The following is a 27,849-nucleotide window of genomic DNA, read 5'->3' as shown; positions in this document are numbered from 1 at the left end:
ATCTACTGTATTAAGCCTGGAATAGAAGACACAATCAATAAAATTTAGCATGAGGGAAGGGGCAAGATGGCCGACTAGAGGCAGCCAGATAGACAGGGATGACTGGCACACTTCTAAAAGTCTTCAGAGGGAAGGCACATTGAAAGAACTCCAACCACATTCTCAATGGCATTTGCTTCTCTTCCTGACTTGGTTAGGACCCAATACTATAGAAGACCTTTCACACCCAACTCTTTCCTTGACAAACACTATGAGAAAATTGTAATGACCTCTGAGGACAGTTCTAATACCTCTCTGATACCATCCAGACAACAGACTCCAGAGGACATGCAATTTTCAGGAATATACATCTCTTATTTTGTCAGACCAATGGATCTCCTTGAAACATAGTCATAGATCTCGAAAATAGCAGTGACCATCTGAAGTCAATATTTCATAATGTAAAATACCCTCCAAACAACTGGATTCTAGAACACTGTTAATTGTAAACAGTGTCAGTTTTATAACTACAGTACAAAATAATAGCTAAAACTAGTCCAGTATTTAAAAAATATCTACTACTCTTACATCTCTAGTTAATAAAATACAATTGGAAATTTCGACGTTTCTTGAAATAGCAGGTAATAAACCATAAAAACAAGGTTATTAAGAACACGTCTAAAAATTTACCCCCTGTGGTATATAGTGTATCTTAACTGGAGATCATGCAAATTTCCTCAGTTTGAAAGTGAGGATGGAAAGCAAACATGGTAGCGTTGAGAAACATTGGACTGGGTGTTGGAGGAGTATATTTGTGCTAGATCAGCCTATTGAGGGCTTCTGTTTTCATCCCACTGTCCTGCACACCTCCTGTATACCATAGTTGTGCATGACTGTAAAACTATGCAAAAATCCAGAACATAAGAACCTAGTATTCTGGGTTCTTGCAAGTTATAGAACAAAAATTTTGAACGAGGTAGGAGAGAGAAGTTAGATCAGGAAATAATTATGTTTCTTTGGGGAATACAATGTTTAGTTCTTATGTGAAGGAATGTATATTTCAAGAAAGTGAATTTCGGCTTATTTTCAATTGTCTCAGGACTCCACAATGTTTTCTTGTCAATAGATACTCTGCCAGTTCACATTAAACAAACAACATGTGAAAGCCATTTATGGTTATTATGGAAGGCTCATTAGCATAAATGTTACTAAATATTTGAGATATTAACTTCTCTATATCCTTGCAAGGCAACTGCAGAGCTACCCTGCAGATCTGTAAGCTGTGCAGTGGTTTAAACTTTCATGATTTCAATTTGCTACCACCTGGGGTAAAGGGCTTTGGAACACCAAGTTCCTGAAGCTCCTTAATTTCTTGGCAAGACTTAAGTGAATTCTAGGATACTCGATGCAGTCAGTTTAGTGCTAATAGATTTTTAAAGACAAATACATTTAACATTTACACTCGATGGGCTTTTTAAAAACAAAGCAATTACTTACATGGCATTAATTATATGAGCAGCCTCCTTCTGACAATCCAAATTTTTGTCTTCCAGAGTCATTTCTGAATATCTACACATTAGGTTCTGAAAAAAAGATCAACCCTGACATATCTTAAAGGCTCCTCTTTAGGGATGAAAGGGAATAAATTACCAAGAATCTTTTCAGATTTGGGGTGCTTTTGACCATGGCAGGGAGCCTGAGAACAAAGCATGCTAGTTTTCCCTGGGTTATGTAAAATTACATGTAGCTTTTCCAAGAAGATCTTGCAGGGTCAGGCTCCTGCCTGTCTCTCCAGCTTCATCTTGCACTGCTTGCTCTCTCACTCCCTTTTGCCAATCATGGGCAGGCCTACTTTCAGCTACAAGAAGACACAAGCTTTTTCCAACCTCCCAGACTGTAGAGGACAGTATCTACACTCCCAGGGCCAGTGCAAGGTTTAGGCAAGTGAGATACCTCAGGCACAAAATCTAAGAGGGCACCAAAAAACTCAGTAGCCAAGATAAATAATTTTAATGAACATTATTGTTAAAAATCAAAATTAATGTCAAAAAACTATAAAGAATACAATAGCAAAACTTTAAAGATAGGATCCAACCCTGAACTTGCACAATTCCACCTCACTTACCTCACCCTAATCCTGGCCCTGCTGGATTCTGTCTTTAAAGTGTTAATATCTTGTTACCTGGGATTTTAAGCATTAATCTGGATTTTTAAAATATTACTTATCTTGATTATGAATTTTAGTGTCCCCTTAACTTTTGCCCCAGAGTCAAGGGCCTCACTTGCCTCATCTTGGTCCCAGCAGATCCCTGTGAATACCTTTTGACCCATTTTTTTTTTGAATGCTCAAAGCCTCTTCAATGTGTTTTTGATCCCCACAACCAGCATATGAGGCTCTTTCCAGAGGACCACCTGCAGGTTCTACTGGATCCCATTTGGCCTGCACAGAAGGAGAGCTGGAAGTATCAGGAAACCTAAGCCTGCCTCCCTCTCCTGTCTAGCCTTCCCCATGACCGCATGGGCTTCCCTGAGAGCATATGCTTGCATAAGAACCCTCCCATTTGTACCTACCTCCAAGGCACAACATAATCAGGACCTCTCTGTGCCAGCTATTCCCTGTGATTCAAACACTGTTTCTGAGGCTCTTTACATGGCTGGTTGCTTCCCATTGGCTCACTGGTAAAGAAATGTCACCTATTCCTTTGACCGCCAAAGCCCTTCCTTTCTCCCTTATTTTTACAGTATCCTGTTTGTTTATTATACTTTCTTCCCAGTGCTAGGCATATACTTATTTTATTTACATCCTTACTTTTTCTTGGTTATTGGATTCTCTCACTAGCAGTCAAGCTTCAAAAGGACAGGAAACATACCTGTTCCTTTCATTTTGGCATCCCCTGGTGTCAGCACAGTGCCCAGCACTCAACTAATAAGTACACATCATTTATCACCTTTGCTTCCTTTGGGTTTGGAACATGCCCCACTGATGAAAAGGTACCCACAGTTTTTAAAGTGGATGACCATTTTGTGGTTCCTCTTAAAGTTACGCATAAAATTACAGAGGAAACTTGCTTCAGGGACCTGTATTGTAAAACCCTGAGAAGTTTTAAAAAAAAACAAACAAAAGCCCTCTAAAGAGGGGACCATTTTCTGCTTTCTTAATACCTGAGACACAGCCTCTATGTCAAATTTCCTAATTTACAAGAAAACAAAATAAACCTAGCTAATCATTAAAAAGTATTATTGAGATATGTAATAAAGGATTGGAATTATAAATGGTCAATGATAACCCTAGATTTTAGCATCCTCTGTTAGCATATTCTTGTCCTTGCAGGGATATAGTTACAAAGTGTTCAGGTAAGATCTGTCAACAGAGCTCCAAGGGTGGATGTTGAGTTTTGGCATAAAATCAGAAACCTAACTTCTTATTTTCAGTGGCACTGGGGAATGGGAGTTCACACACACCTTATTTTGGAAAGAGATTGTCCTGACTACTATTTTTCTCAGCTTTAAAAAATTTTTATTTATTTATTTTTGAGACAGAGTCTCACTCTGTTGCCAGGCTGGAGTGCAGCGGCGCAATCTCGGCTCACTGCAACCTCCACCTCCTGGGTTCGAGTGATCCTCCTGCCTCAGCCTCCTGAGTAGCTGGGACTAAAGACACGCACCACCACGCCCAGCTAATTTTTTTTGTACTTTTAGTAGAGACGGGGTTTCACTATGTTGGCCAGGATGGTCTCGATCTCTTGACCTCGTGATCCATCCGCCTCGGCCTCTCAGCTTCTTTTTGGCCTTTTTCCTCCTTTCTGGTTGATTCTTACTGAATCATATCCCCACTGCATATCTTCAAGTCATGGAATGTGTATACAAATGCTCATACCTGTTTCCCAGAATCCCTTTCATTTTAAATACCTGTAGCTGCTCATCAAGGTAAGGGATTTTTAAAATTTCGATAGCAGATGGTCTTAATGAAGGATTCTTGTTCAACATGCTGTAATGTTTAAACAGAAAATTATTTTTCAGGTAAACTAAAATATAAGTACAACTTTAAATTATTTCTGTGACAACATGTTTATTTCTATACCTTTCCATGATGGCATTTAGTTCTTTTGGATATCTCTCAGGGAGAGAAGGTGTGTCACCTTCAACAATTTTTAAAACAATGGATAAGAAATTGGAGCCAGCGAATGCATGATTCATGCAGCACATCTCATACAAAATGCATGCCAGTGACCTGAAGACAAAGTCAAAGAATTTAAATAAGGAACAAATATCCTATTTTAAATTTTTTCATCATACAAAACCTCAGATGTGTTGGGGCATTGGCTGTGAGGCACAAACATACAATCAGTAGTTGACTTAAAACTGCAGTTTCATACAGTTTTTTTCCATTTAAATACATGTTTACCAAAAAAAAAACCAAAAAAGTGAAAGAATAAAGCACAAAAGTAAGTCTGAATGACAGCTTTTTTATCAAAGAATAAGCAGATCAAGAGTTAACAGTATGCCTGCACATAGTAAGAATTCTAAGTATTTGATTAATGTAAGGATTTTTTGAATTAGCTTTTAATACATAAAATGCAGCTGAATATTATCTTCCTAAGGCAGTTTGATAATTTTATATATGCAAAATATAATTTTAATTTAGCAGCCTAACCTTCCCTCTAATGTGTATCCAAGCATTTTGAAAAGGAAACTGGCATTATTTATTATTCTCTGAATATAATCCATTTGCAAGTGGAGTGGAAGAGCAGCTACTTGAAGCCCACATTAAAATGTATAATTCTCCCATGGTGAGTATGAAACAGAATATTAAAATTCTAGATAAGTCCAACACTGATTTGGATTAACCATGCAAATCAATAACCTCTAAACCAGCCGGAAAATATTTTAAATAACTCTACATCATTAAAAAAAAAACTGAAAGGGAAATTCCTGTCTGAGCTTAGTATTAAGAAATAATGGCACTTCTCCTGAATAATGAATTATTTTTATCTTATGGACATTATGAATTATGTAACTGTCCAGGTTTTCCTTTTCATGTTAGTCACTTGAAAGATAAGAAATAAACTTGTGATTGACCTTGTGTAAGTTACATTTTATGTAACTTTTAACAATGTCCTTAATACAACAAAGGATAGACAGAAATAAATACATGAATAATACCATTGAACTATTTTGTGGGTACTCATGAAACTGTGCATTTGTAAGAGAATTTTGGATATGTACACTGAGAATATTTCTGTTCCAGTAAATAATAACACTAAATATTTCCAACTGAGCTGACTGGTACTTTACATTTTACAAAGCACTGACAATATCTCAACAATCCCTTATAACTTCCCAGTGAAATAGAGCCCGTGTAATATTTTTCCCATTTTTATAGATTGAAAATTGGCTCAGAAAAGTTAAATGACTTGGCCAAGGTCACATAGGTAGTAAATGGTAGAACTGACTCTTGAATTAAGGCATTTATCTTTCCAAATCCTAGACTGTTTCCATTAAAGAATGCTAGAAAGAAGAGGGAGATGTTAGAAGAAAGTGCATGAAATCAACTAGAATACCAATATCAATGTAAATATTAAAAATGATGAAAATTATTTGAAAATCAATAAATTTTGCATCTATCTGCAAGACTATTAAATGGCATCTGGTTAGATTTCTATACCCAGAAAAAACAGTCCTTCAAATTAAGAGGAAATAAAGATGTTTTTAGCCAAGCAAAAACAGAGATTTCATTACCAGCAGGAAAGCATTTCTTAAATCCTAGACATAAATTTTTCTAACAGAAGAAAAATGATCCAGACAAAAACAATGAGTACAAGAAGAAATAAAGAGCACCAAAAAATAAGCATAAATGAATATTAACTCTACAAAATAAAATTAACAATATCTTGTGGTGTTTAAAAATTATGTAGAATAAAAATTCATGACAAAAATAAGGCAAATGACACAAGAGGGAAAAGACTCCAATTAAAAAACTAAATTATCAGACTGGAAAAAAGGTATATTCTGCTCACAAAACAAACTTTAAATATAGGAATACAGAGAGGTTGATAGAAAAACCATACAAACACCAAAATGGCAAGAAACACTACTAAGATTAAGATGGTGGATTAATAAAACAAACCACCAGGAATATAAAACAATTCTAAATCCATATACACCCAATAATGTGTGCGTGTGTGCATGTGCATCATGTGCATGTGTGTGTGTATGAAGCAAGAACTGACAGAATTAAAAAAATCAATAAAGATAGAAAAAATCTACACGATGACAAAATGGACATAATTGGCAAGTTGATGTAAATGCAACCAACAATAACAGAATTCAATTTTTTTTCAAGGGCACATGGAACATTTACCAAAATTGACAATATACAGGGCCATAAAGCAAGCCTCAACAGATTTTAAGGACTGAAATCTTCAAAGTCAGACCACAGTAAAATTGTGCTAGACATGAATAACAGAGTGACAGAGAAAAAGAGATAATTGAAAAACTATAAAATTGCCAACTGCTTGAAAACTAAGAAATACACATCTAAATAATCCTTAGGTCAAACAAGAAATTAGAAAACACTTTTAATGGAATGCTAATAAAGATACCAAATATCAACACATTGAATGCAGTTAAGGTGCTTACAGTAAAATTAAAAGTATTAAATGCATATATTACAAAAAAACTTAATATCTACCGTATAAGTCAATTTGAGAAGTTAAAAAAACAGCAAATCACACCAAAGAAAGTTTAAGGAAATAAATTTTAAAAGAGAAGAAATTAATGAAATAGAAATAAACAATAGAAACAAAATCAGTGAAGACTAATACATTTAATAGATTTCTAGCAAGGCTGATCAAGAAAATCAGAAAAAAACACAGATTAACGATAACAAATAGAAAAAAGTGCAACACTGTAGATTCCACAGATATTAGAAAGTATTAAGATGACATTATAAACATGTTTTTTCCAATAAATTTGATAATATGAAGTTAACAGTCTTTTAAGAACACAACTTACGACACAAGAAGAAAAAGATAATCTGAATAGTTTTTATCTATTAAACAGAGATAATTTCTTATTTAAGATAATAAAACTCAAAGCAGAATGACCATTTGACCCAGCAATCCCATTACTGGGTATATATACCCAAAGGAATACAAATCGTTCTACCATAAAGACACATGCATGCATATGTTCATTGTAGCACTATTCACAATAGCAAAGACATGGAATCAACCTCAACGCCCATCAACGGTAGACTGGATAAAGAAAATAAACTGTGGAATATTATGCAGCCATAAAAAAGAATGAGATCATGTCCTTTGCAGCAACATGGATCAACCTGGAGGCAAACTAACAGAGGAACAGAAAACCAAATACTGCATTTTCTCACTTATAAGTGGGAGCTAAACATTGACTACACATGAATGCAAAGAAGGGAACAACAAACACTGGGGCCTACTTGAGGGTAGAGGGAGAGGAGGAGGTTGAGGAACTCAAAAATAAAAATAAAGAAGGCGGTTGCTGTAACAAACTATAAGCAAACAAATAAATAAAGGTTTAAACACAAAAAATATAGTTAACAATAATTTATTATATATTTCAAAATAGTTAGAAGACTTGGAATGTTCCCAACACAAAGAAATGATAAATGTTTGAGGCAATGAATATCTCAATAACCTAGATTTGATCATTATGCATTGTAAGCTTGTATCAATATATCACATGTGCCCCATAAATATGTACGACTATTATGTATGCATAAAATTTATTTTTAATGAAAAAAAACTACCTATTTTGTACTATGCTTAACACCTAGGTAATGACATAATCTGTACACCAAGCCCTTGTGACATATTATATATATATATATATATCTGTAACAAACCTGCACATGTACCCCTGAACCTAAAATAAAAGTTAAAAATAATAATAACTGAGATAGACAACAGAAGTATCCCCTGACCCTCTATCTCAAAAGTAAATATTATAAAGCAATCCTTATAAGGACCCTGTATTTGTTTGGCTTTGTTTTTGCCTACCAATGTATTTTCAGCACAACAACAGAACAGTGGCTACCTTTATCTTCTCAATATAGATATTTGTTGAATACAGAAAAATAAAATAATAAAAAGCTCTTGCAAAGAAAAACTCCAGGACCAGATGGCTTTACTGATAAATTCTTCCAAATATTTAAGAAATAAATAACAATAATCTTACTCAACCTCTTCATTTCGTAAGACCAGGACAAGTTTGATACTAAAATATAACAAGGATATTATGGGAAAGGAAAATTACGAGCAAATGTTTTCATGAACGTTGATTCAAATAACCCAAATTTACACACACATATTAGCAAATAGAATACGACATATTAAAAAGATAATACATCATGACCATGTAGATTTTATTTCAGAAATACAGAGTTGACTTAATATATGAAAATAAATCAATCAAAATATATCTCATTATAGAAAAAAGTTGAAAAATTGTATCACCATCTCAACTGATGCAAAAAAAGCATTCTATAAAATTCAAAATTTATTATATTTTTAAAAAGAAGAAAACTCCTAGCACACCAGATATAGGAGGGAACTTCCTTAATCTGATTTTTTGAAGCTTAAAAATATATAGTAAACATTATGCTTATTGGTGAAATATTGAAAGTTTATTATTTTCTTCTGAGATTAGGAACAAAATAAGAATGCCTACTATCATCACTTCTATTCAACATTGTAATGAAGGTGCTTCCCAAAGCAATAATGCCAGAAAAAGTAAATTTTTAAAAAAATCTATAAAGATTAGTAAAGAAAACATTAGACTGTCATTAATCATGTCAACATGATTGTGTACAGAAAAAAATCCAAAGACCTGACAAACTGTTAGAATTAACGAGGGAATTACGCAAGACTGCTGAATACAAAGCCCTTTATTTCTATAAACTTGCACAAAAACACACTTAAAGAGGCCCATGAAATACCAACCAAAATCCTAGCAGACATTTTGGCAGGAACTGAAAAGCAGATTCTAAAATTTATATGGAAATACAAAGGAACCTGAATAGCCACGGCAATTAAACAAGAACTAATTTGGAAGTTTTGTATGACCAAATATCAAGATTTATTATAAAGTTATATAGCTTATATTATAAAGTTATATTACCTATGAAAGTGTGGTATTGGCAAAGAAGAAAAAATATACACCAATGCAATCAAATAGAGGGCTCAAAAACAGATTCACACATATTTAATCACTTGATTAATGCAAAAATAAACCACTGCATGGTAGAGGAAAATATGGCTTTTTCAACAAATTATGCTGGGCCAATTGAATATTCATATAGAAAAAAACGTACTTGGATTCCTGTCTCATACCATATAGTCACATACACACACAGATCAATTATAGATAGATGTTACTGTGAAAGACAGAATGAAATTGAGTCAGCTTTAAAAGAAAACAGGAGAAGAAAACTGAGTTTTAAAAGAAAACAAGAGAATATCTTCATGATCTTGGAGTAGGCAAAGATTTCTTAAGACATAAAAGGCACTAATGATAAAGTTATGAACTTATAAAATGAACTTCATTAAAATTACAAACTTCTACTCATAAAAAGACACCATTAGGAGAGTGAAAAGGAAGACACATAGTGTAAGATATTTGCAATTCAAATATTCATCAGACTACCAAAATATGGATAAAATTAATTAAAACTTCTATAAAGCAATAAGAAAAATGAGAGAATCCAATAGAAAAATGGGCAAAAGACTTGAACGGACGCTAAATGGCCAAAAGTCATGAGAAGACGCTCAACATTTTTAGTCATCAGAAAAGTGCGAATTACAACCACTGTGTACTACCACTACATGCTACACACTCATCAGAATGGCTAAAAAGAAAAAGACAGACAATACCAAGTCAGTACTTGTTATACTATGAAAAAAAAAGTTTCCTTAGGAAAACAAGAGGGGCTAAATATCACTAAAAATATATAATCATCAAGTTGAACCAAATACTTTTACTAATGTAGAATGTTTATGTTATGAATTGCCACAATATACTTGGTTATTTCCCCACAGAAGAATCTATAATTCAAACTTCAAGAATGTCTTCTTACACAGAATAGTAGAGTTACAAGAGACTATAAAGATTTGCTCATTTCAAACTCTGGTTTTATCAGTGAGAAAACCAAAGCTCAGAGAGAGGAAGTAATTTGCCCAGAAAGGTACCATGTCAGATCAGCTCATGTTGGTATTGGTATTAGTTCTCATCCAATACTTTTTAAAATTTCTCTTTTAAAAAGTTACATTGATCACATTCTGTTATGTAGCCTAACACACACATAATAATCTGAAAACTGAAAAAAAGAAATCAAATTTGCAAGTCCAAGTAACAGAAGGCTAGCAATCACTCAGCACCTACACACTCTGTTCTGATGATTTATGCTCACCCCACATAGGCTTAGGGTCTCCTTGAGGACAAGATTAGAAACAGAACAAGCTAGACAACCTCTCCTGGCCTGGGCATATCGGAAGGGCTGTAACAACAACCCTTGGGAGCAACAACCCCTGATCCAGAACATTTTAAAGTGTCTTGGAAGCAGCTATTAGATTGTCTCCATCAATAACACAAATGGTAACAACAATAATGATAATTATAATAATAATAATGAAAATGATAGCTGGAATGTTAATAGTGTTTACTATGAGCCAGGCCCTCTTCTATGTTCCTTTCATATTTTAACTCATTAACTTACACTCACAACAATCCTAATGAGGTAGGAACTATTATTATTCCCATTTTTCAGATGAGAAAACCATAAGATTAGGTAAATTGTTCAAGGTTCCATACTGAGTAGGTCATAAAGCTGGGATTGTAGCCCAGGCTATCTGGCTCTAGAGACACAGACTCTCTATGCTATCCTGCCTCTGGATCTTGCACCAATCAGAGCCTTTTGGATCACGAAAGTCTCTCTTGAGTTGGAAATCAGGGCTAGCCCTGACAGAGCCTTTTAAGCAGGGGCTGATTTCCCAAGGTAATTTCAGGTTCTATATAGAACCTTAATTCACTTTTAAAAATCACTGGGGCCTTAGACAACAAGCTATGCAGGGCGTCACACCACGGCAAATATAGGGCACACAGACTATGAGACCTTCTATGGAAAAAGGAAGGCAGACAAGTTTGGCTTTTGTCTTTTCATTGCTTGGAAGGAAAGAGGGCTTAGTGGTCTATTAACAGTGAATTGATCACCTTTCTGGTTTGATGGAGATATAACTCTACTTTGATGAATTTATTAAGGTTATAAAAAGATGTGGTAGGCCAGGCACAGTGGCTCACACCTGTAATCTCAGTGACTTGGGAGGCTATGGTGGGACAATGGTTGAGGCCAGGAGTTTAAGACCAGCCTGGGCAACATAGCAAGACTGCATCTCTACAAAAAATAAAAATATATTAACTGGGCATGGTGGCCCACACCTGTATTCCTAGCTACTCCAGAGGCTGGAGTGGGAGGATCACTTGAGCTCAGGAGTTTGAGGTTACAGTGAGCTATGATTGTACAACTGCACTCCAGCCTAGGCAACAGAGTGAGACCATCTCTAAAAATAAATAAAAATAAAAAAGATATGCAATTATCTGGCTAAAGAAACTATGGAACAATTAGATTCATAGCCTAACTTAGTAATCAATTAATTCTCATATAAGACTACAGTACTCTCTGTTTTGGAAATCCTCTCAGCTACACTGTAGTATGCAGTGCAATTACCTGTTTCACTTTGATGACTAGTATTTGCTTGCACTCTAGCACGTAGAGAAGACTTCATTTATCAGCCAGTAACTTGTGGAAACGGACCTGCTATAGTGGTCCCAGTGCACCTACCTGGAATGGGCGCCAGTAACTGAAACTTGGACAATCTGATTACAGAAACTACCTAGATATTCAAAGGTAAAAGATGTTTGGTTACCTACCATATCTCAGAACCACTGTCAGTGTTTCCCAAACTTTAACATACATGCAAATCACTTAGAGGTTTTGTTAAATACATACGGTAGGTAACCAAAATACATATGGTGACTATATTTCTATGTACCAGTGTTTCTTTTTTCTAGTTTCCAACCAGACATTTCCATATAGGAATCATCTAAAACTCTTCACTTCCATCCTTTTAAAATAATTTTCCCTTATTTGACTCCCAGGTCTTAAATCTGCTGATACAAAAGCAGATTGGGGGTGGGGGAGAGCTGAAATAAACAAGTGAGATGTGTATTTTACTTAGAAGTCTACAATTTGCATTTCTTTCTTTTTCCAAAATACAGACAACTGTGAAGAGATAAGCAAATAAATCCCTGAGGGAGTATGAATACAAGCAATGAAAAAGAAGGCTGGGATCAGGTGTCTGTGAAGCAAATTACACCTGAACTCCATAAACTTGCCATCTGTCCAAATTGAACAACTTGTCCGGAACTACTGAGAAAATTTCTGAAGCACAGGTTGATTGATAATAAATCACAAATGTAACTCAGACTTTGCTTGTCTTAAGGTAACTAAATTTACCCTTCAAAATCTGCCAGACTCTGCAAACAGATGCCTGCCCCAGAGCAATGCATGACTCTAGTTGGTTAGGAAGTTTTGTTGATCTTCTAGATAATGTTTTATTTTGATGTAATTGAAGAGCATCCTGATATATTCATCTAGAAAAGAGGAATCAGTTCAATCTATGGAAACAGTAATGGAAATGTAATAAAAGAGTAGTGGGTTTTGCTTTAGTGTGTATCACCCTAAATGAAAGTCTTTACTTAGGTAGAATTGAGTATTAACCTAAATTCAGTCTAAATATAATGAAATGAAAATAAATATAATGAAAAACATTGGGCTGCTTGAAGTAATAGTACTTAAGGAACAATATTATATAGCAATTTTTTATGAATGACCTACCTTATCTCAAAACCTCTATCAGTGTTTCCCAAACTTTAACATATATGTAAATCACTTAGGGGTTTTGTTAAAATGCTGATTCCGAGCATTTGGGGGGAAACAGTAGATACAGTGGAAGCATAGTTTTTAGATCTTTCTTGAATCCACATATGAAAACAGAGCAGCTACAGAACAAAACTCAAAACTCATGAATAATATTTATTATAATTTAATAATAATTTATTATAAAGCCAAGTTATAAGGTGTCCCCTTGAACCTTGCTGTGCAAGTGAAGGAACACAAACCACACAGCTACTTGACTGGCATAGTATCAGCATCTGTGTGAGAAGAAGCAGAGGGAAGCAATGGAGTGATCAAGGGACATGAGAACAGAAGAACCTCAAACTATCTAAAGTGGACCAATCTAAGCATAGCAATTAAACCCAGCAGGGGTTCTGCCCAATCCAAAAGCAGGGTGAATGCAAGAAATCCCAAGATAAGGCTTAAAGCAGCTGGAGCAAAATAGTTCAGGGCTGTCCAAAAGAATTTATTGAACTCATAGAAATGTTCTTATTTCTACAAACAATAGCCACCAGCCACATTTGGCTTTTGAGCACTGAAAATGTGGCTAGTGTGACTGATGAGCTGAATTTTTTAAAGAATATTTAAAAAGAAAAGTGAACTCATTTCTCTTATCATATTCTAATATACTGTCACATTTTAGGGAATACGACCCATAAAATTATTGACAAAACAAGGTTTGGGTGAATTTTCTCCTGTTCATACCAGCTCTTTCTAATTACTTTCCTCCACAACTGAGCTTTACAATGTTTCAAGGAAGATTATCAAAGCTCTCTCCTCTGTAGTGGTCCCATGTCCTCCATACCATAAGAATGTGGCTAATGGAGGAAAAAGATCAAAACCAGTGAGTGAGGAGAACAAGGAGACCACAGGGTGGCAGAAGAGAAAAACTGGCTAAAAGTCAAAGCTTCTTTGCATCTTTAGCTATTCTTAAGGTCACAGTTATAGATTTTATGCAAACCATACAGCTTAGGAAAGGATGTTTGGAGTTGGGGTAGGGAGGTAGGTTGGCAATGGAAACAATGATCAAAGCATCCTTACATAACCAACTGTTATTTACTCAGCCACTCTATTAAGACCGAATATGGCAACAGCCGACACTGCTTATGGGGCATGAACTGCTTCACATTTTGACTGAATGGCTGTGTTCCAACTGCTTTAATAATTTTATATGATCTCCAGAGGCTCTTTTATGATGGACAGAACATCAAAAGTAGTAGAATGTGCCAGGTTAATAGAAGACCTACCTATCTCCCTCCTTTAGTCTCCACCAATCTTCTCCCTACTGTCAGTTTTCTATAGCCCAGCTGGCATCATAATAAGACTGACTCCCCTGGTAGATTGATTGCTCTTTGCGAATATTCTTTTTCCCTTCCCCCACAGGGGGAATTGGCATAGGACTTGCTTCAGCCAGTGGAATATGGGTGGATATGAAGTGTGTCACAACTAACTGAGTGGAGGATCTAAAGGCAGACACATGCTCTTTCTCTCTAGCACTGTATTGTCCATGTTTTTCAGAGCATAACCTGTGTCCTGGAACTGGGAAAACTATGGATCAGAGCAGGACTGCAACTGGAGCAGAAACTCAGTTAATCTGTAGTCCTCAGGTAAGGCAAAGAATCAATATATGAAGTACCTGAGATTTTTTGGAGTTCTTTGTTACCGCAGCAAAGCTGACTGATACATCATTCCTCTGCTTAACAGCCTTTAGCAGATTCTCATACTCCAGAAGATGAAAGTACAAGCTTCTTTTCATAATTACATGGGTCATTCACCATCTGACCCCTGCCCGCCCTTCAGTCAAATGTACCAACACTCCCCTCCTTGCCACATACACACTTTGTCCTACAGCTAATCAGAAGAACCTGAGCTTTCTCATGCTTCCATGTCCTTTCATACCATTTCTCAGAGTCTTTCAGTAGTCAGAGAAGGTCCAAGTCATTTGTAACTATTTTTAAATTCCCAGTATATATTTTAAATGAACAAATAAATACCCCAATAAAAGTTTCAAAATTGGTGATATATCTGAAATTTTGGCATTAAATAAACACCTTTAACATATACCACCTCATTTGGAAATAATTTTAAACACATACATTTGAGGCCCTTCATGAATGAGAAGGCCCTGGCCAAATGGTTCTTCTGGCCAGCCACTTTCTTTCCCTGCACAGTTCCCTCCCTCTTCTCCCAGTGGGCACCCCTCACTTTTGGTCATTGACATTGGGTCTTTTTACCTGAAATACATTTGCCAAACTCTTCTCCATTTTTCCCCATCCTGAGCAGGAATCATGCACTCTCTAAGACTGTAGCTGATGCTCTCTACCCCTATCCCCAGCTGTCAATCACTCTCTGCTTTATACATCAGAATATGTATTGCACTATAACAGTATACAGCAGTTTGTTTATATGTTTATCATTCCTTTGAGGACAGAAACCTTCATGTCTTCACGTCTCTTCCCTTCTGCAAATACCACCCTAGGGGCAAGAAGGAGTAAGGCTAAAGGTATGAGCTATTCTGGTACACTGCCTTTCTGAGGTAGGAGGAGAAGCCCTAATTTACAAATTTCCATGGTATAAATACCATGGTTGTTTTCAAGTTACTAATGTGACATCAGTGAACATTGACTTGAGAAGAAATGTGGATAATTGGGTCTTATGAGCTGGTATGAGCTCCAGCATACCACTGAATCATGGGAATGATAGAAAGATAAGGCTGGAGTCAGATGGTCCAGTGCTAGGGGTGACGTTGAGGTGGGGGTTGGGAGAAAGAAGGCAAAGTCAGGAGGAATGAAAGAAGAGTTCTGAGGCACATGGAAAAGTTGCTGGTCTGGAAGTTCTCAGCTGTGGTCCAGGTTCTTGGGTTCTACCCATCAAACAGACCAGCAAGTAGAGTGCCAGATTGCTTTTCTGGCACAAGCCACTTCTCTTAAGCAATTTATTGAGCCTTTTGACATAAAGAAAACAAACACTGCCAGATTGTCATACGGAGGCCTAGATTAGAGGCTACTTCTCAACTCCTGCTTGCCGTTCTCCTGATGAAGTCCTGCTCCAGTCACCACTGCTGCATAAAAAACCACCCCAAACCTTAGTACCTTAAAACAACAATAATCAGTCATTTTGATCATGAATCTTTTTGGTCAGAGATTGACAGGGAAGCCTTGAACCTGCTCCCCACAGCATCTGCTGGTGATGCTCAACTGAGGCTTAAGGATCCACTTCCAAAATGGCTCACGCACATCACTGGCCAACTGATGCTGGCTATCAGCTGGAAGCTCAATGGGAGTAAAGACCAAAGGCCTTGGTTCCTCTCAATGTGGCCCTCTCCATGTTGGTCTCTCAATGTGCCACTCAGGCTTCCTCACAACAGGGTAGTTGGGTTCCAAGAACAAGAATTTCAAGAGAACCAAGCAAAATCTATATTGCTTTTATTACCTAGATTCAGAAGTCACATAGCATCAATTTTGCCATAATCACAGGCTTACCCAAATTAAAGGTGAGGGAACACAGACCCCACCTCTCAGTAAGAGTGTGTCAACATCACATTATAAAAAGAACATGTGAGAAAAGAACATGTGAGAAGTGATATGTTATGATGGCCATTTTTGGAAAATACAATCTGCCACATGCCCCTATGGATCATGGGACATTTTACCTTATGCTCCTATCCAAAGGGGTCTCCTTCATCAGAAACCCAGGCCCTGCCCAGGCTCTCATGGCCACACTCTTTCCTCGCCCCTGATGCTCCTCGCTACAAAGTGCCCAATCCTGGAATTTGAAAGATTCAATCCCAATTTGACTTCCTATAGAAAGACTAGTCTCAACTAGGGATTCCAAGACTTAAAACAAATTTAAAAAGCAATGTAAACAATGAAGTGTGGTGATAAGATTTAATACTTGCCAAATAAATTTGCGTGTTTGAAATAAGAACTTGTTAACACAACTAAATTTTTCTTTAGTAAGAGGAATGAAAGAAAATCCTGAACTAACCCTCCCTTCTCCTGCTCTCCCACAGAATTAACAAAACAGGAGTATATGAATTTGCCACATCATTTATTAATGAGTTAAATCTGTTTGGTCTTCTATAACCTTCTTATACTTATATATTAATATCTTTTTCTAGATTCAGGAAGTTCTCTGTTACTATTCCTTTTAATAAACTTCTTACTCCTATTTGTTTCTCCACTTCCTCTTTAAGGCCAATAACTCTTAGACTTGCCTTTTGAGGCTACTTTCCAGATCTTGGAGGTGTGCTCCATTCTTTTTTTTTTTTTTTTCTTTTTTCTCTTATCTCCTCTGACTGTGTATTTTCCAATATCCTGTCTTCGAGCTTACTAATTCTTTCTTCTACTTGATCAATTCTGCTATTAAGAGACTCTGATGCATTCTCCAGTCAATTGGATTTCTCAAGTCCAGAACTTCTGCTTGATTCTTTTTAATTATTTCACTCTCTTTGTTAAATTTATCTGATATAAATCTGAATTCCTTCTCTGTGTTATCTTGAATTTTGTTGAGTTTCTTCAAAACAGCTATTATGAATTCTCTGTCTGAAAGGTTGCATTTCTCTGTTTCTCCAGGATTGGTCCCTAGTGCCTTATTTAGTTTGTTAGGTAAAGTCATGTTTTCCTGGTTGGTCTTGACACTTGTGAATGTTCATCAGTGCCTGGGCATTGAAGAGTTAGGTATTTATTGTAGTATTCACCATCTGGGCTTGTTTGTACCCATCCTCCTTGGGAAGGCTTTCCAGGTATTTGAAAATACTTGGGTGTTGTGATCTAAGCTACATCTGCATTGGGGCCACCCCAAGCCCAGTAACACTGTAGTTCTTACAGACTTGTAGAGGTACCACCTTGGTGGTCTTAGATAACATGCAGAATAATTCTTTGGATTACAAGGCAAAGACTCTTGTTCTCTTCCCTTACTTTCTCCCAAACAAATGGGGTCTCTGTATTAAGTTGCCTGGAACTGGGGGTGGGGTGACACAAGCACTCCTTTGGTCACCACTACTGGGACTGTAGTGGCACCAGGTCTCGTCCAAGGCCCCCATAACTACTTCCTATTACCTATGTTCACTCAAGGCCCTGGAGCTCTACAAGCAGCAGATGATGAAGCCAGCCAGGTTTGTGTCCTTCCCTTGAGAGGTGTGAGTTTCCTAGGTCCTGGGCAGGTCCAGAGATGCTCTCCCAGAGCCAGGGACTAGAGTTAAAAACCTTAGAAATCTGCATGGTGTTATATTCTACTGTGGCTGTGCTGGCACTCAAGTCACATGACACAGTCCTTCCCACTCTTTCCTCCCCTTCCTATGTGCAGAGGAGCTTCACCCCATGGCCACCACCACTACAGGCCTACAGGGAACATTCCCAGGCTACCACTGATGCTCAATTAAGGCCTAAGGACTCTTCCTTCAGCTTGTGGTGAATACCACCAGGCCTGGAACTCACCCCTCAGGGCAGTGGGTTCCCCTCTGGCCCAGGGAAGGTCCAGCAATGCTATCCAAGAGCTAAGACATGAAATCAGGGACTCCAAGATCTCACTTGGTCCTCTACACCACTGTGGCTGAGCTGGTACCTGGTTTTTGGTTCTTATGAAGGTGGTTCCTTTGTGTAGACAGTTGTAAAACTTGGTCTTCCTCAAAGGATAAATGCTGGAGGAGAAGGATACCACATTTTCCATGATGTGATTATTATGAATTGCATGCCTATATCAAAATATTTCATGTACCCCATAAATATATACATCTACTGTGTACCCACAAGAATTAAAAATTTAAATTTTTTTAAAACCTGGTGTTCCTGGGGAGGGGCATGATCAGTGGGGCCCTTATTCAGCCATCTTGCACTGCCCCTCCTCCATCAATATCAATTTAACAAGGATTTATTAGCTATGTTATTAACCCTTTTAAAATTCATCAGGCCAAATTAGTACTATCTGCAGAGTTTGTATCAACCATTTCATGCTAGTCATTGAAAAAAATATATTAATGTTCAAATATACTTCACCTGACTGAAATGTTTTCTCACCTAAGCTTCCATTGGATGAAAATACTGACACCAGTGCTTATTCCCTAGGAAAGCACTCCCTGGTCAATAGCTTTCTTCTGAACCCACATAAGAACTTCCCAGGCCATGGGCAAGTGAAAAAAATTAATTCTTTTGCTCCAGAGCTTTCTTCACCAGGAGGGAGCTGATGAAGCTGCTGGCTGCCAGCTACTAGATGGCCTCATTTTAGTTACAGGAAATGCTGGCAAGTTGGACTGTATTTCTCAAAAAAATAGGCTGTTGTCCCCATCCCTTCCCTGTCCACCCTGGAAATGTTCTTCCATGAGGATACTTTCTTGGTCCTGGCAGGTCAGGCAGGTGCTGGTTCTTCTCTGTTTTCTTCTACTCACAGCTAATCCTTGCATGACACTTCTGCCCCAAGATCATGAAAGCCTGAGTCCAATGTTGGGCATGAACTAGATTCCTTCTCTGTCCCCCACCCAACCAACCTCCACACCAAATTTCTGAGAAAGACCCTGAGAGCTTCACAGTACACTCTAGATGTTGCCACTATTCCCACCACTGTTCCCTTTACTTATATCACCCAAAGAATATGGGGGCTACAAGATCAAAGAGCCATCTGGTTGGGTTCTCACAACAAAGTAAATAAGACCAACAGTGAAATATTGTTTTCTTTCTGTCTAATTGCAGTACCATTATTCAAATAATATTGTCCTTTATTTGTTTCTCCTACCAAAATAACATACTCTAAATATTCATAGTTTAAATCAATTTAATGAGCTGGCCTAGGAACCCAACTCATATTTGTATTTCTCCTGTGGGTATAAGAGTATTCAACAATTGCTTATACAAATCAGCTGTGATCAAAGCATTGTTCTCAGTAAACCTAATTATCCTAACTTTGCAAATAACTTTATAAACTTTTGGAACCTAACCCACTTTTAGGAGAAGGACTTCCTGTACTGAATGCTATAAATAAATGAAGCCAGAAAAGTTTAACAGATTGCAGAATGAAGATAATGTTACATATGGGCAAACATTACAGATGAAAACATAACTAGTATTAGGCCAATTCTCCTTTAAGCAAATTCTCCTTTAAGCATTATAAATATAATATGTACAGCTATTAGTGCTAAAACAAAACACCTGTCAATTATTCATAAGTGTTTCTAATCCTAAAAAAAAATTCCACAATAAACAGATGCTACACACTGAGATTCAGAGACAGGTTCTCAACCTCATTCAATCTAATTTTTCTCAGAGTGTCTACTAAAGATTACTCATCACACGTATGTATCTGACACTATAATTAATAGTTCTCTCTTATTATTTCCATTTTAGGTTTGGCAATAGAAATTTCATTACCAGATAAGCCCACTTTGATTCTGATACAACCAAGGTAATTACTAAATCCATAATAAGGTGGTTATTTAGGGTCAGGATGATGATGAATCCTAAGCTTGTACTTGCTGAAAAGTTAATCTCTGCAAGGAGAGCTAACCTAATGCTCAGAGAAACACATTAAAATCCTTCTGCTTTGTATATTTTGGAGGTTTTGGCTGTTTTTTTTTTCTTGAGTCAGACAGTTTTGTAATCCTAAAGTATAGCAATACTATCTGATATCCCATAATACTCCATGTAATAGTAGGAGCAATTTTTTAAAAAGAAATAACACTGACATAACTGAGACAAATACTCTATGCTTTCCTTTCCTCTCTGTGGGTTCTGTTGCTTTTGTTTTCTAGGAGATATTCATCTGATCTGGAAAGCAGATATAGCTGCCTGTCAAAAGGAGCCAGGTTTGTTACATATAATTCCAAAAACTTAAATGATAGGCTTTGTAAATTAATTTACTCCTAATTCAGATGGCATAACATAACATCTTCTTGAGATACCATATAACCTTAAACTATAAAGATATATATTTGAATCTATTTTAAAATGTCCATAATATTAATTTTTAAAATTAAATGTAAAGAGATATATAGGTATATAATTGAAATTCGATCTGAAGCAAAGCCCAAAATTGATTTCTCAAACTAGAGAAAGGGACTCCAAAAGAAGCAAGATTTCTCTTGATAGGTAGGAATCCTATCACTTTTGCTTTATACCTAAGGAATGTTACACAGTCTTGGGCAAATAGTAGATGTTCAATGAAGCAAAATTTAAAGGAACTCATTAGTTATTCCTCTATACATACCTTTGTGATGTTTGGTTTTATTTGGTTTGGGTTTTCTTTTTCTTTTGGATGTGGTAGTTAAGGGGGTTAGAAGGAAAGAAGACAGAAGATGATAGGTGAATTGGAAAAGACCTCCAGGGCAGAAGTAAGCCAATGATGAAAAAAACACGTGAATAATTTAGAAATGAACAATTGCAAGACTGAATTGAAAGGACGGGATTCATGGGGAATTGCCATACCCAGACCTAATCTTGACAATGTTCTCTCCCATTTGGTAGGCACGAGAACAAGGAACAGATAATGACCCTTGTGAAAATCCTAAGCAATATCCCCTGTTGTGATTCACTTTTCCCTAACCAGAGAAAATGTAATTTTCTACTTTGTCTTCTTTAGAAGAGTGAAGTAAGCACATCTTTTACACTGCTTGTCTTTGAAAGCTCAGAACTATTTATGTTGATTTGCATACAGTAATTATTTACTTAATTAACAAGCCCTCAGCTAGATTGTTCTTTCAACCCTCAACAAGCAGAAAAGTATATAATAAGATTCCTCTTCTAAGGAAAAGAAATAGGATCTATTGCTTACACTAGAACATACTGAATACAATTTTCCACATGGCTTCTGCAGTGAGATTTCACTTAGTTCCATAACAAGGAAGGAGAAATTCCTTTAATATAAGAGCTCAGAGAAACTGAGACATCTCAGATGCATCTGTCACTGAAAATCCAGAAATTTTAAAATTTAGTTTATCCTAGTCTGGGCGCGGTGGCTCACACCTGTAATCCCAGCACTTTGGGAGGCTGAGGCAGGCAGATCATGAGGTCAGGAGATTGAGACCATTCCGGCTAACACAGTGAAACCCGTCCCTACTAAAAATACAAAAAATTAGCCAGGCGTGGTGGTGGGAGCCTGTAGTCCCAGCTACTAGGGAGGCTGAGGCAGGAGAATCGCTTGAACCCAAGAGGTGGAGGTTGCAGTGAGCTGAGATCACACCACTGCACTCCAGCCTGGGCAACAGAGCAAGACTCCATTTCAAAAAAAAAAAATAGTTTATCCTTAAAGCCAATATCTTTAGTAAAATTCTTAAAAGTAACAAAAAGAAAAAAATATAGAAAAGCTGTACATTCCCCACAGAGATTGAAGTTAACCTTAAAATAGAATAAGCACAGTACTTAGGGTTACAAATACTTTATTTAATAGGTTAACAGAAATGTATTAAAATTTAATGCTTATGGTACATTAAGAACTTTCCCTTGTGATTCAGGAACCAAAAATCCAAAACCAACCAATTATCACTGAATAAAAAGAATTTTTGAAACTAGTTTAATGAAATATATTGAGTTCTAAATGCAAAAGACCTTCTTTTACTCTGGTCACAGAAATATTCATGTCAAAGGGATAAAGTGAATGTATGCAGTAAGTAAATGAGCTGAAAGACAAAATGTACCATTCTTTTAGGGAAGCAGATGAAGAGTCTAGCCCACTAGCCCACTCACCAGATGTCCGACTTTGTGTCATAGCCTTGGTGTTTCAGAGCCTCAGGACTCATATAATGGGGAGTTCCAGTTAAAGTTGTGGCCAGGTCACAGGATCCCATTAGAAGTCGAGAAACTCCAAAATCTCCTTGAAATAATAATTAATTTTTATGAATACTTTAAGCCAACGAAAAATTAGCCCTGGAAATTAACAACTGAATGAGTGCCTAATTTGACCATTTTATTATGCAATGGTTCATAGCATTTTAACAGGAAAGAAAAGTAATATATCTTAAATTATACAACGCTGGTAAATAGTTTTAAAAACATAAGTTTTATAGAAGGAAGACTTTGAGCCAGGAAAGTGAATTATGTAAGCTAAAATTCTTTATTTCTGGAATTATGGGAAACTAGACAATTTGATATAAAAAGCTATTTAAAGTCTGAATAATGGCAAACAGAATGATTTTGGAAAAACTGAATAAGATGATATACAATTTCACCTGAGGGGAGAAGAATTTGTTCTTAAATTTACAATAATGGAGCGTTTTAAAGAAAAGATCTGAGACTATTTAAGAACATGACTATAAAAATTTGAATCTATCAGCTTTTTAATACTTGCCTAACTAGTTGCACACTTTTATTCCTTCCTTCCTTCCTTCCCCAAGTACACCCTATATGATGATTAGATGATCCAGTAGCTGTTATGAGGAGAGGTACAGTTCTGAAGAACTAAAGGTTAATAAAGCCATTATATCAACATTTTCATTATCTATAACCACTTATTGCTTGTGATGAAATAATATAAATGAGAAACCTGTAGTAACTAATCAAACCAGTAAAATGATTCTAATAACTTGTAAAGTGCCTGGCATGAAACAGGGAACTCAAAGTATATTTGAAAAATCTATCAAATATGTGGTAAATTTGTACACCTCAATTTATATCAGATACTCAGAAACAAAACAATTAGGTTTTGTTGGGCCCATCTAGAAACCTGAGAAATTTAGTGTTCATTTCAGCAGCACATGTACTTAAAAATTTGAGAAATTTAAACAAACCAATGATTACTCTAATACTTCCACGTACCATTTACTTCAATTTGATATGATAATATCTAGAATATACTGTTCTGCGTTTTTGGAATTCATACTTTTTAAAATCTTACCAATTTTAAGGAGATTATTTTTCAGAAATACATTCTTTGACTTTAAGTCTCGATGAAGTATCCTCCTACAAAAGGCAAAAAAGATATACAACTTCATGCAGAATATAACATTTTTAAATCCCCATGTAAATAATATATGTTGTTGCACATGATTTACACATAAATATATACTCCCATAGATATATCTTTCAATGTTTAAAAGCTACAAAGCCACAATACTTTCCAGTTTCCCTGAGGAAACAAAAGTTTTAAAATAAAGATTTTAAAGGTTGGGGAACATGTAGTTTGGAGAACGGTGATATGCTTTCAACTATTTCAATAGGCTATATTTTATTATGTTTTTGTAGCATAATCTACATAGTACTATATCCAGTAACCATATCCTCAATTGATAGACCAGTTTGTAATCTATTATTACCCAAATGTCCAAGTTTTATATACTTGTGAAAATAATAACGTTGTTGATGATATTTAAGAATAGGTAACATTTATTAAATCTGACTATAAGTCAGTAATGTAAATTATGTCAGTTAAGACCTTTATTTTATGGAATTATAAAGAACTAGAAAACTTGAAAATCTTTGCATAAAAAAACTAAAATGCCGAATAAAGTATACAAATATCTTCATATATGCACAGTTGAGCTCACATAAAAATGAAAAAAAATCCCTGCGAATTATTCAAAAAGAAACTGAAAGTCATTCTAGGCCATAAAACATTAACAAATTTGAAAGAAGAGAAATCATACCATTTCTGCTCTCACATCAAAATGGAATCAAACTAGAAATTAATAACAGAAAGATAACTGGAAAATCCCAAAATATGTGAATATAAAACCACACACTTCTAAACAATGAAGAAGAAATCTCAAGAGAAATTTTAAAATATTTTGAACTAAATGAAAATGAAAACACACTTTATCAAAATTTGTGTGATATAGCAAAAGCAGTGCTTAGAGGGAAATTTACAGCACTGAATATATATATTAGAAAAAAAGAAAGATCTAAAATCAGTTATCTAAGCTTCCACCATAGAAAACTAGAAAAGAAAAGCAAATTAAACCAAAAGTAAGGAGAAATATTACAGCAGAAATAATAAAATTGAAAACAAGAAACCAATAGAGAATATCAACAAAAATAAAACTGGTTCTTTGAAAAGATCAATAAAATCAACTAGCCTCTAGCCAGCCTAAGTAAAATAAAAAGATAGAAGACAAAAACTATTAAAATCAAAAATGAAAGAGAGGGCGTCACTACAGATTCCGTGGACATTAAAAGAATAAAAAAGCAATACTATTAACAATCTATAACCACAAATTTGATAACCTAGATTAAAAGAACCAATTCCTTCAAAGACACAAGCTGCCAAAAATCATACAAGAAGTAGACAATCAAATAGGCCCATCTTCAGTAAATACATTCAATCAATAATTAGTAAGTTTCCAAATAAAAAACACTGGGCCCAGATGGGTTCACTGGCGAATTCTACCAAATATTTAAGGAAGAAATTGCACCAAATATCTATAATCTCTTTCAGAAAATAAAAGCAGAGGAAATACTCCCTAACTCATTTTAAGATGTCAGCATCATCCTAACATTAAAACCAAACAAAGACATTACAAGAAAAGAAAACTAAAAACCAGTATCTCTGATGAATGTAGATGAAAAAATCCTCACTGAAATATTAGCAAATCAAATCCAACATTGTAGGCCAGGCGTGGCAGCTCATTCCTGTGGTCCAAGCACTTTGGGAAGCCGAGGTGGGTGGATCACCTGGGGTCAGGAGTTCGACACCAGCCTGGCCAACACGGTGAAACTCCATCTCTACTAAAAATACAAAAGTTAGCTGGGCATGGTGGCAGGGGCCTGTAATCCCAGCTACTTGTGAGGCTGTGGCAGGAGAATCGCTTGAACCCGGGAGACAGAGGTAGCAGTGAGCTGAGATCACCCCACTGCACTCCAGCCTGGGTGACAGAGCGAGATGTTGTCCAAAAAATATACATATATATATCCAACATTGTGTCAGGAGAATTATACACCACAACCAAGTGGGATTTATACTAGGTATGCAAGGCTGCTTTAACACTTGAAAGTCAATTAATGTATCCATCACATCAACAGAATAAAGAAGAAAAATCACATGAAAAAATCAATAGATGCAGAAAAAGCAATTGACAAAATCCAATACCCATTCATGACAATAACTCTGATAAACTAGAAACAGGAATATTTATAACAAACCTACAGCTAACATCACACTTTACAATGAGAACCCTGACGTTTTTCTGCTGATATCAGGAACAAGGGAAAAATGTCCCCTCTAATCATTTATTTTCAACATTATACTGAAAGTCCTACCTAATTAAGTAAAACAAGAAAAGGAAGTGTAAAAGGAATAGAGATGGGAAAGGAAAAAACAAACTCTCTGTTTACAGATGACATGATCAGCTAAGTAGAAAATCCAAAAGAATCAATTAAAAAAACCTCCTGGAATTAACAAGTAATTAATTCTGCAATGTTGCAGAATACAAGGTTGATACACAAAAATCAATTGCTTTCCTATATACCAGCAATGAACAAGTAGAATTTGACATTTATATCAAACTATATTTACATTAGTACCCCTGAAATGAAACACTTAGGTATAAATCTAATAAAATATGTACAAGATCTATATGAGGAAAGCTACACAACTGTAATGAAAAAAAATCAAAGAAGAACTAAATAAATGGAAAAATAATCCATGTTCATGGATAGGTAGACTCAATATTGTCAAGATATGGATTCTTTCCAAATTGATCAATAGATGCAATGTAACCCCAATCAAAATCCCAGGAAGTTATTTTGTAGACATTGATAAACAGATTCTAAAATTTGTATGGAAAGGCAAAAGATCCATAATATTGGGTCTTTTGAAGGAGAACAACAATGTTGGAGGACTGATACTACCTGATGTCAAGACTTTCTATAAAGTACAGTAATTAAGACAGTACAGTATTGGAGAGAAAAAAAATCAATAAAACAGAATAGAGAGCCCAGAAATAAAACTGCGTGAATACAGTCAACTGATCTTTGACAAAGAAGCAAAGGCAATGCAATGGAACACAGTCGTTTCAACAAATGGTGCTGGAACAACTGGGCATTCATATACAATAGATGAATCTAGACACAGACCTTACAGCCTTTGCAAAAATTAACTCAAAAATAAATCATAGGCCTAAAAAATATAAAACTATAAAACTGCTAGAAAATAATATGTGATAAAATCTAGATGATTTTAAGTTTGGTGATAACTTTTTAAATATAACACCAAAGTCACAATCCATGAAAGAATTGAGAAGCTAGACTTTATTAAAATAAAAAATTTCTGCTCTGTAAGAAAACACTGTCAAGGAATAAAAAGATAAGCCACAGACTGGGAGAAAATATTTGCAAAAGACGTATCTGATAGACTGTTGGCCGGGTGCAGTGGCTCAAGCCTGTAATCCCAGCACTTTGGGAGGCTGAGGCAGGCAGATCACAAGGTCAGGAGATCGAGACCATCCTGGCTAACGTGGTGAAACCCCATCTCTACTAAAAATACAAAAATAAAATTAGCCAGGCCTGGTGGTGGGCACCTGTAGTCCCAGCTACTTGGGAGGCTGAGGCGGGAGAATGGCATGAACCTGGGAGGTGGAGCTTGCAGTGAGCCAAGATTGCGACTCTGACACGCCTGCGTGACAGAGCGAGACTCAGTCTCAAAAAAAAAAAAAAAAAAAGACTGTTATCCAAAATATACAAAGAACTATTAAAACTCAACAATAAGAAAATAATCTGGTTTTAAAATGGGCCAAAGACCTTAACAGACACCTAACCAAAGATGATATACAAAAGGCAAATAAACCTGAAAAGATGTTTTACATCATATGTCATCAGAGAAATGAAAATTAAAACAACAATGAAGTACCACTACACACCTATTAGAACGGCCCAAATCGAGACACTGACAACACCAAATGCTCACAAGGATGTGGAGTAACAGAAACTCTCATTCGCTGCTAGTGGGAATACAAAATGGTTCAG

General features: G+C 36.0%; 1 protein-coding gene across 58 annotated transcripts in view; it reads right to left on the bottom strand.

Moving 5' to 3' along the window:
* Positions 1-27,849, bottom strand: part of NEK11 (NIMA related kinase 11) — a 323,589-nt gene that overhangs the window by 193,868 nt on the left and 101,872 nt on the right. For 45 of the 58 annotated variants that reach the window (XR_001740271.2, NM_001353038.2, NM_001353022.2 and 42 more), the window contains 5 exons: positions 23,789-23,853; positions 22,642-22,768; positions 4,061-4,210; positions 3,889-3,967; positions 1,477-1,562 (listed from right to left, as the gene is read on the bottom strand). Coding sequence is in view for 57 of the 58 variants with exons in the window: in NM_001353038.2 (NP_001339967.1) it covers positions 1,477-1,562; positions 3,889-3,967; positions 4,061-4,210; positions 22,642-22,768; positions 23,789-23,853 (507 nt within the window). In the remaining variant the exon portion in view is untranslated. Of the gene's footprint in view, positions 1-1,476; positions 1,563-3,888; positions 3,968-4,060; positions 4,211-22,641; positions 22,769-23,242; positions 23,325-23,788; positions 23,854-27,849 lie in introns of those variants that run through there. The other 13 variants (NM_001353045.2, XM_024453756.2, XM_047448977.1 and 10 more) reach the window with 4 other exon arrangements.

Source organism: Homo sapiens, chromosome 3, assembly GCF_000001405.40.
Source record: "Homo sapiens chromosome 3, GRCh38.p14 Primary Assembly".
Taxonomy (NCBI): Eukaryota; Metazoa; Chordata; class Mammalia; order Primates; family Hominidae; genus Homo; species Homo sapiens.
The sequence above is the reverse complement of the archived record's forward strand: the minus strand, read 5'-3'. Positions and strand labels throughout refer to the sequence as shown.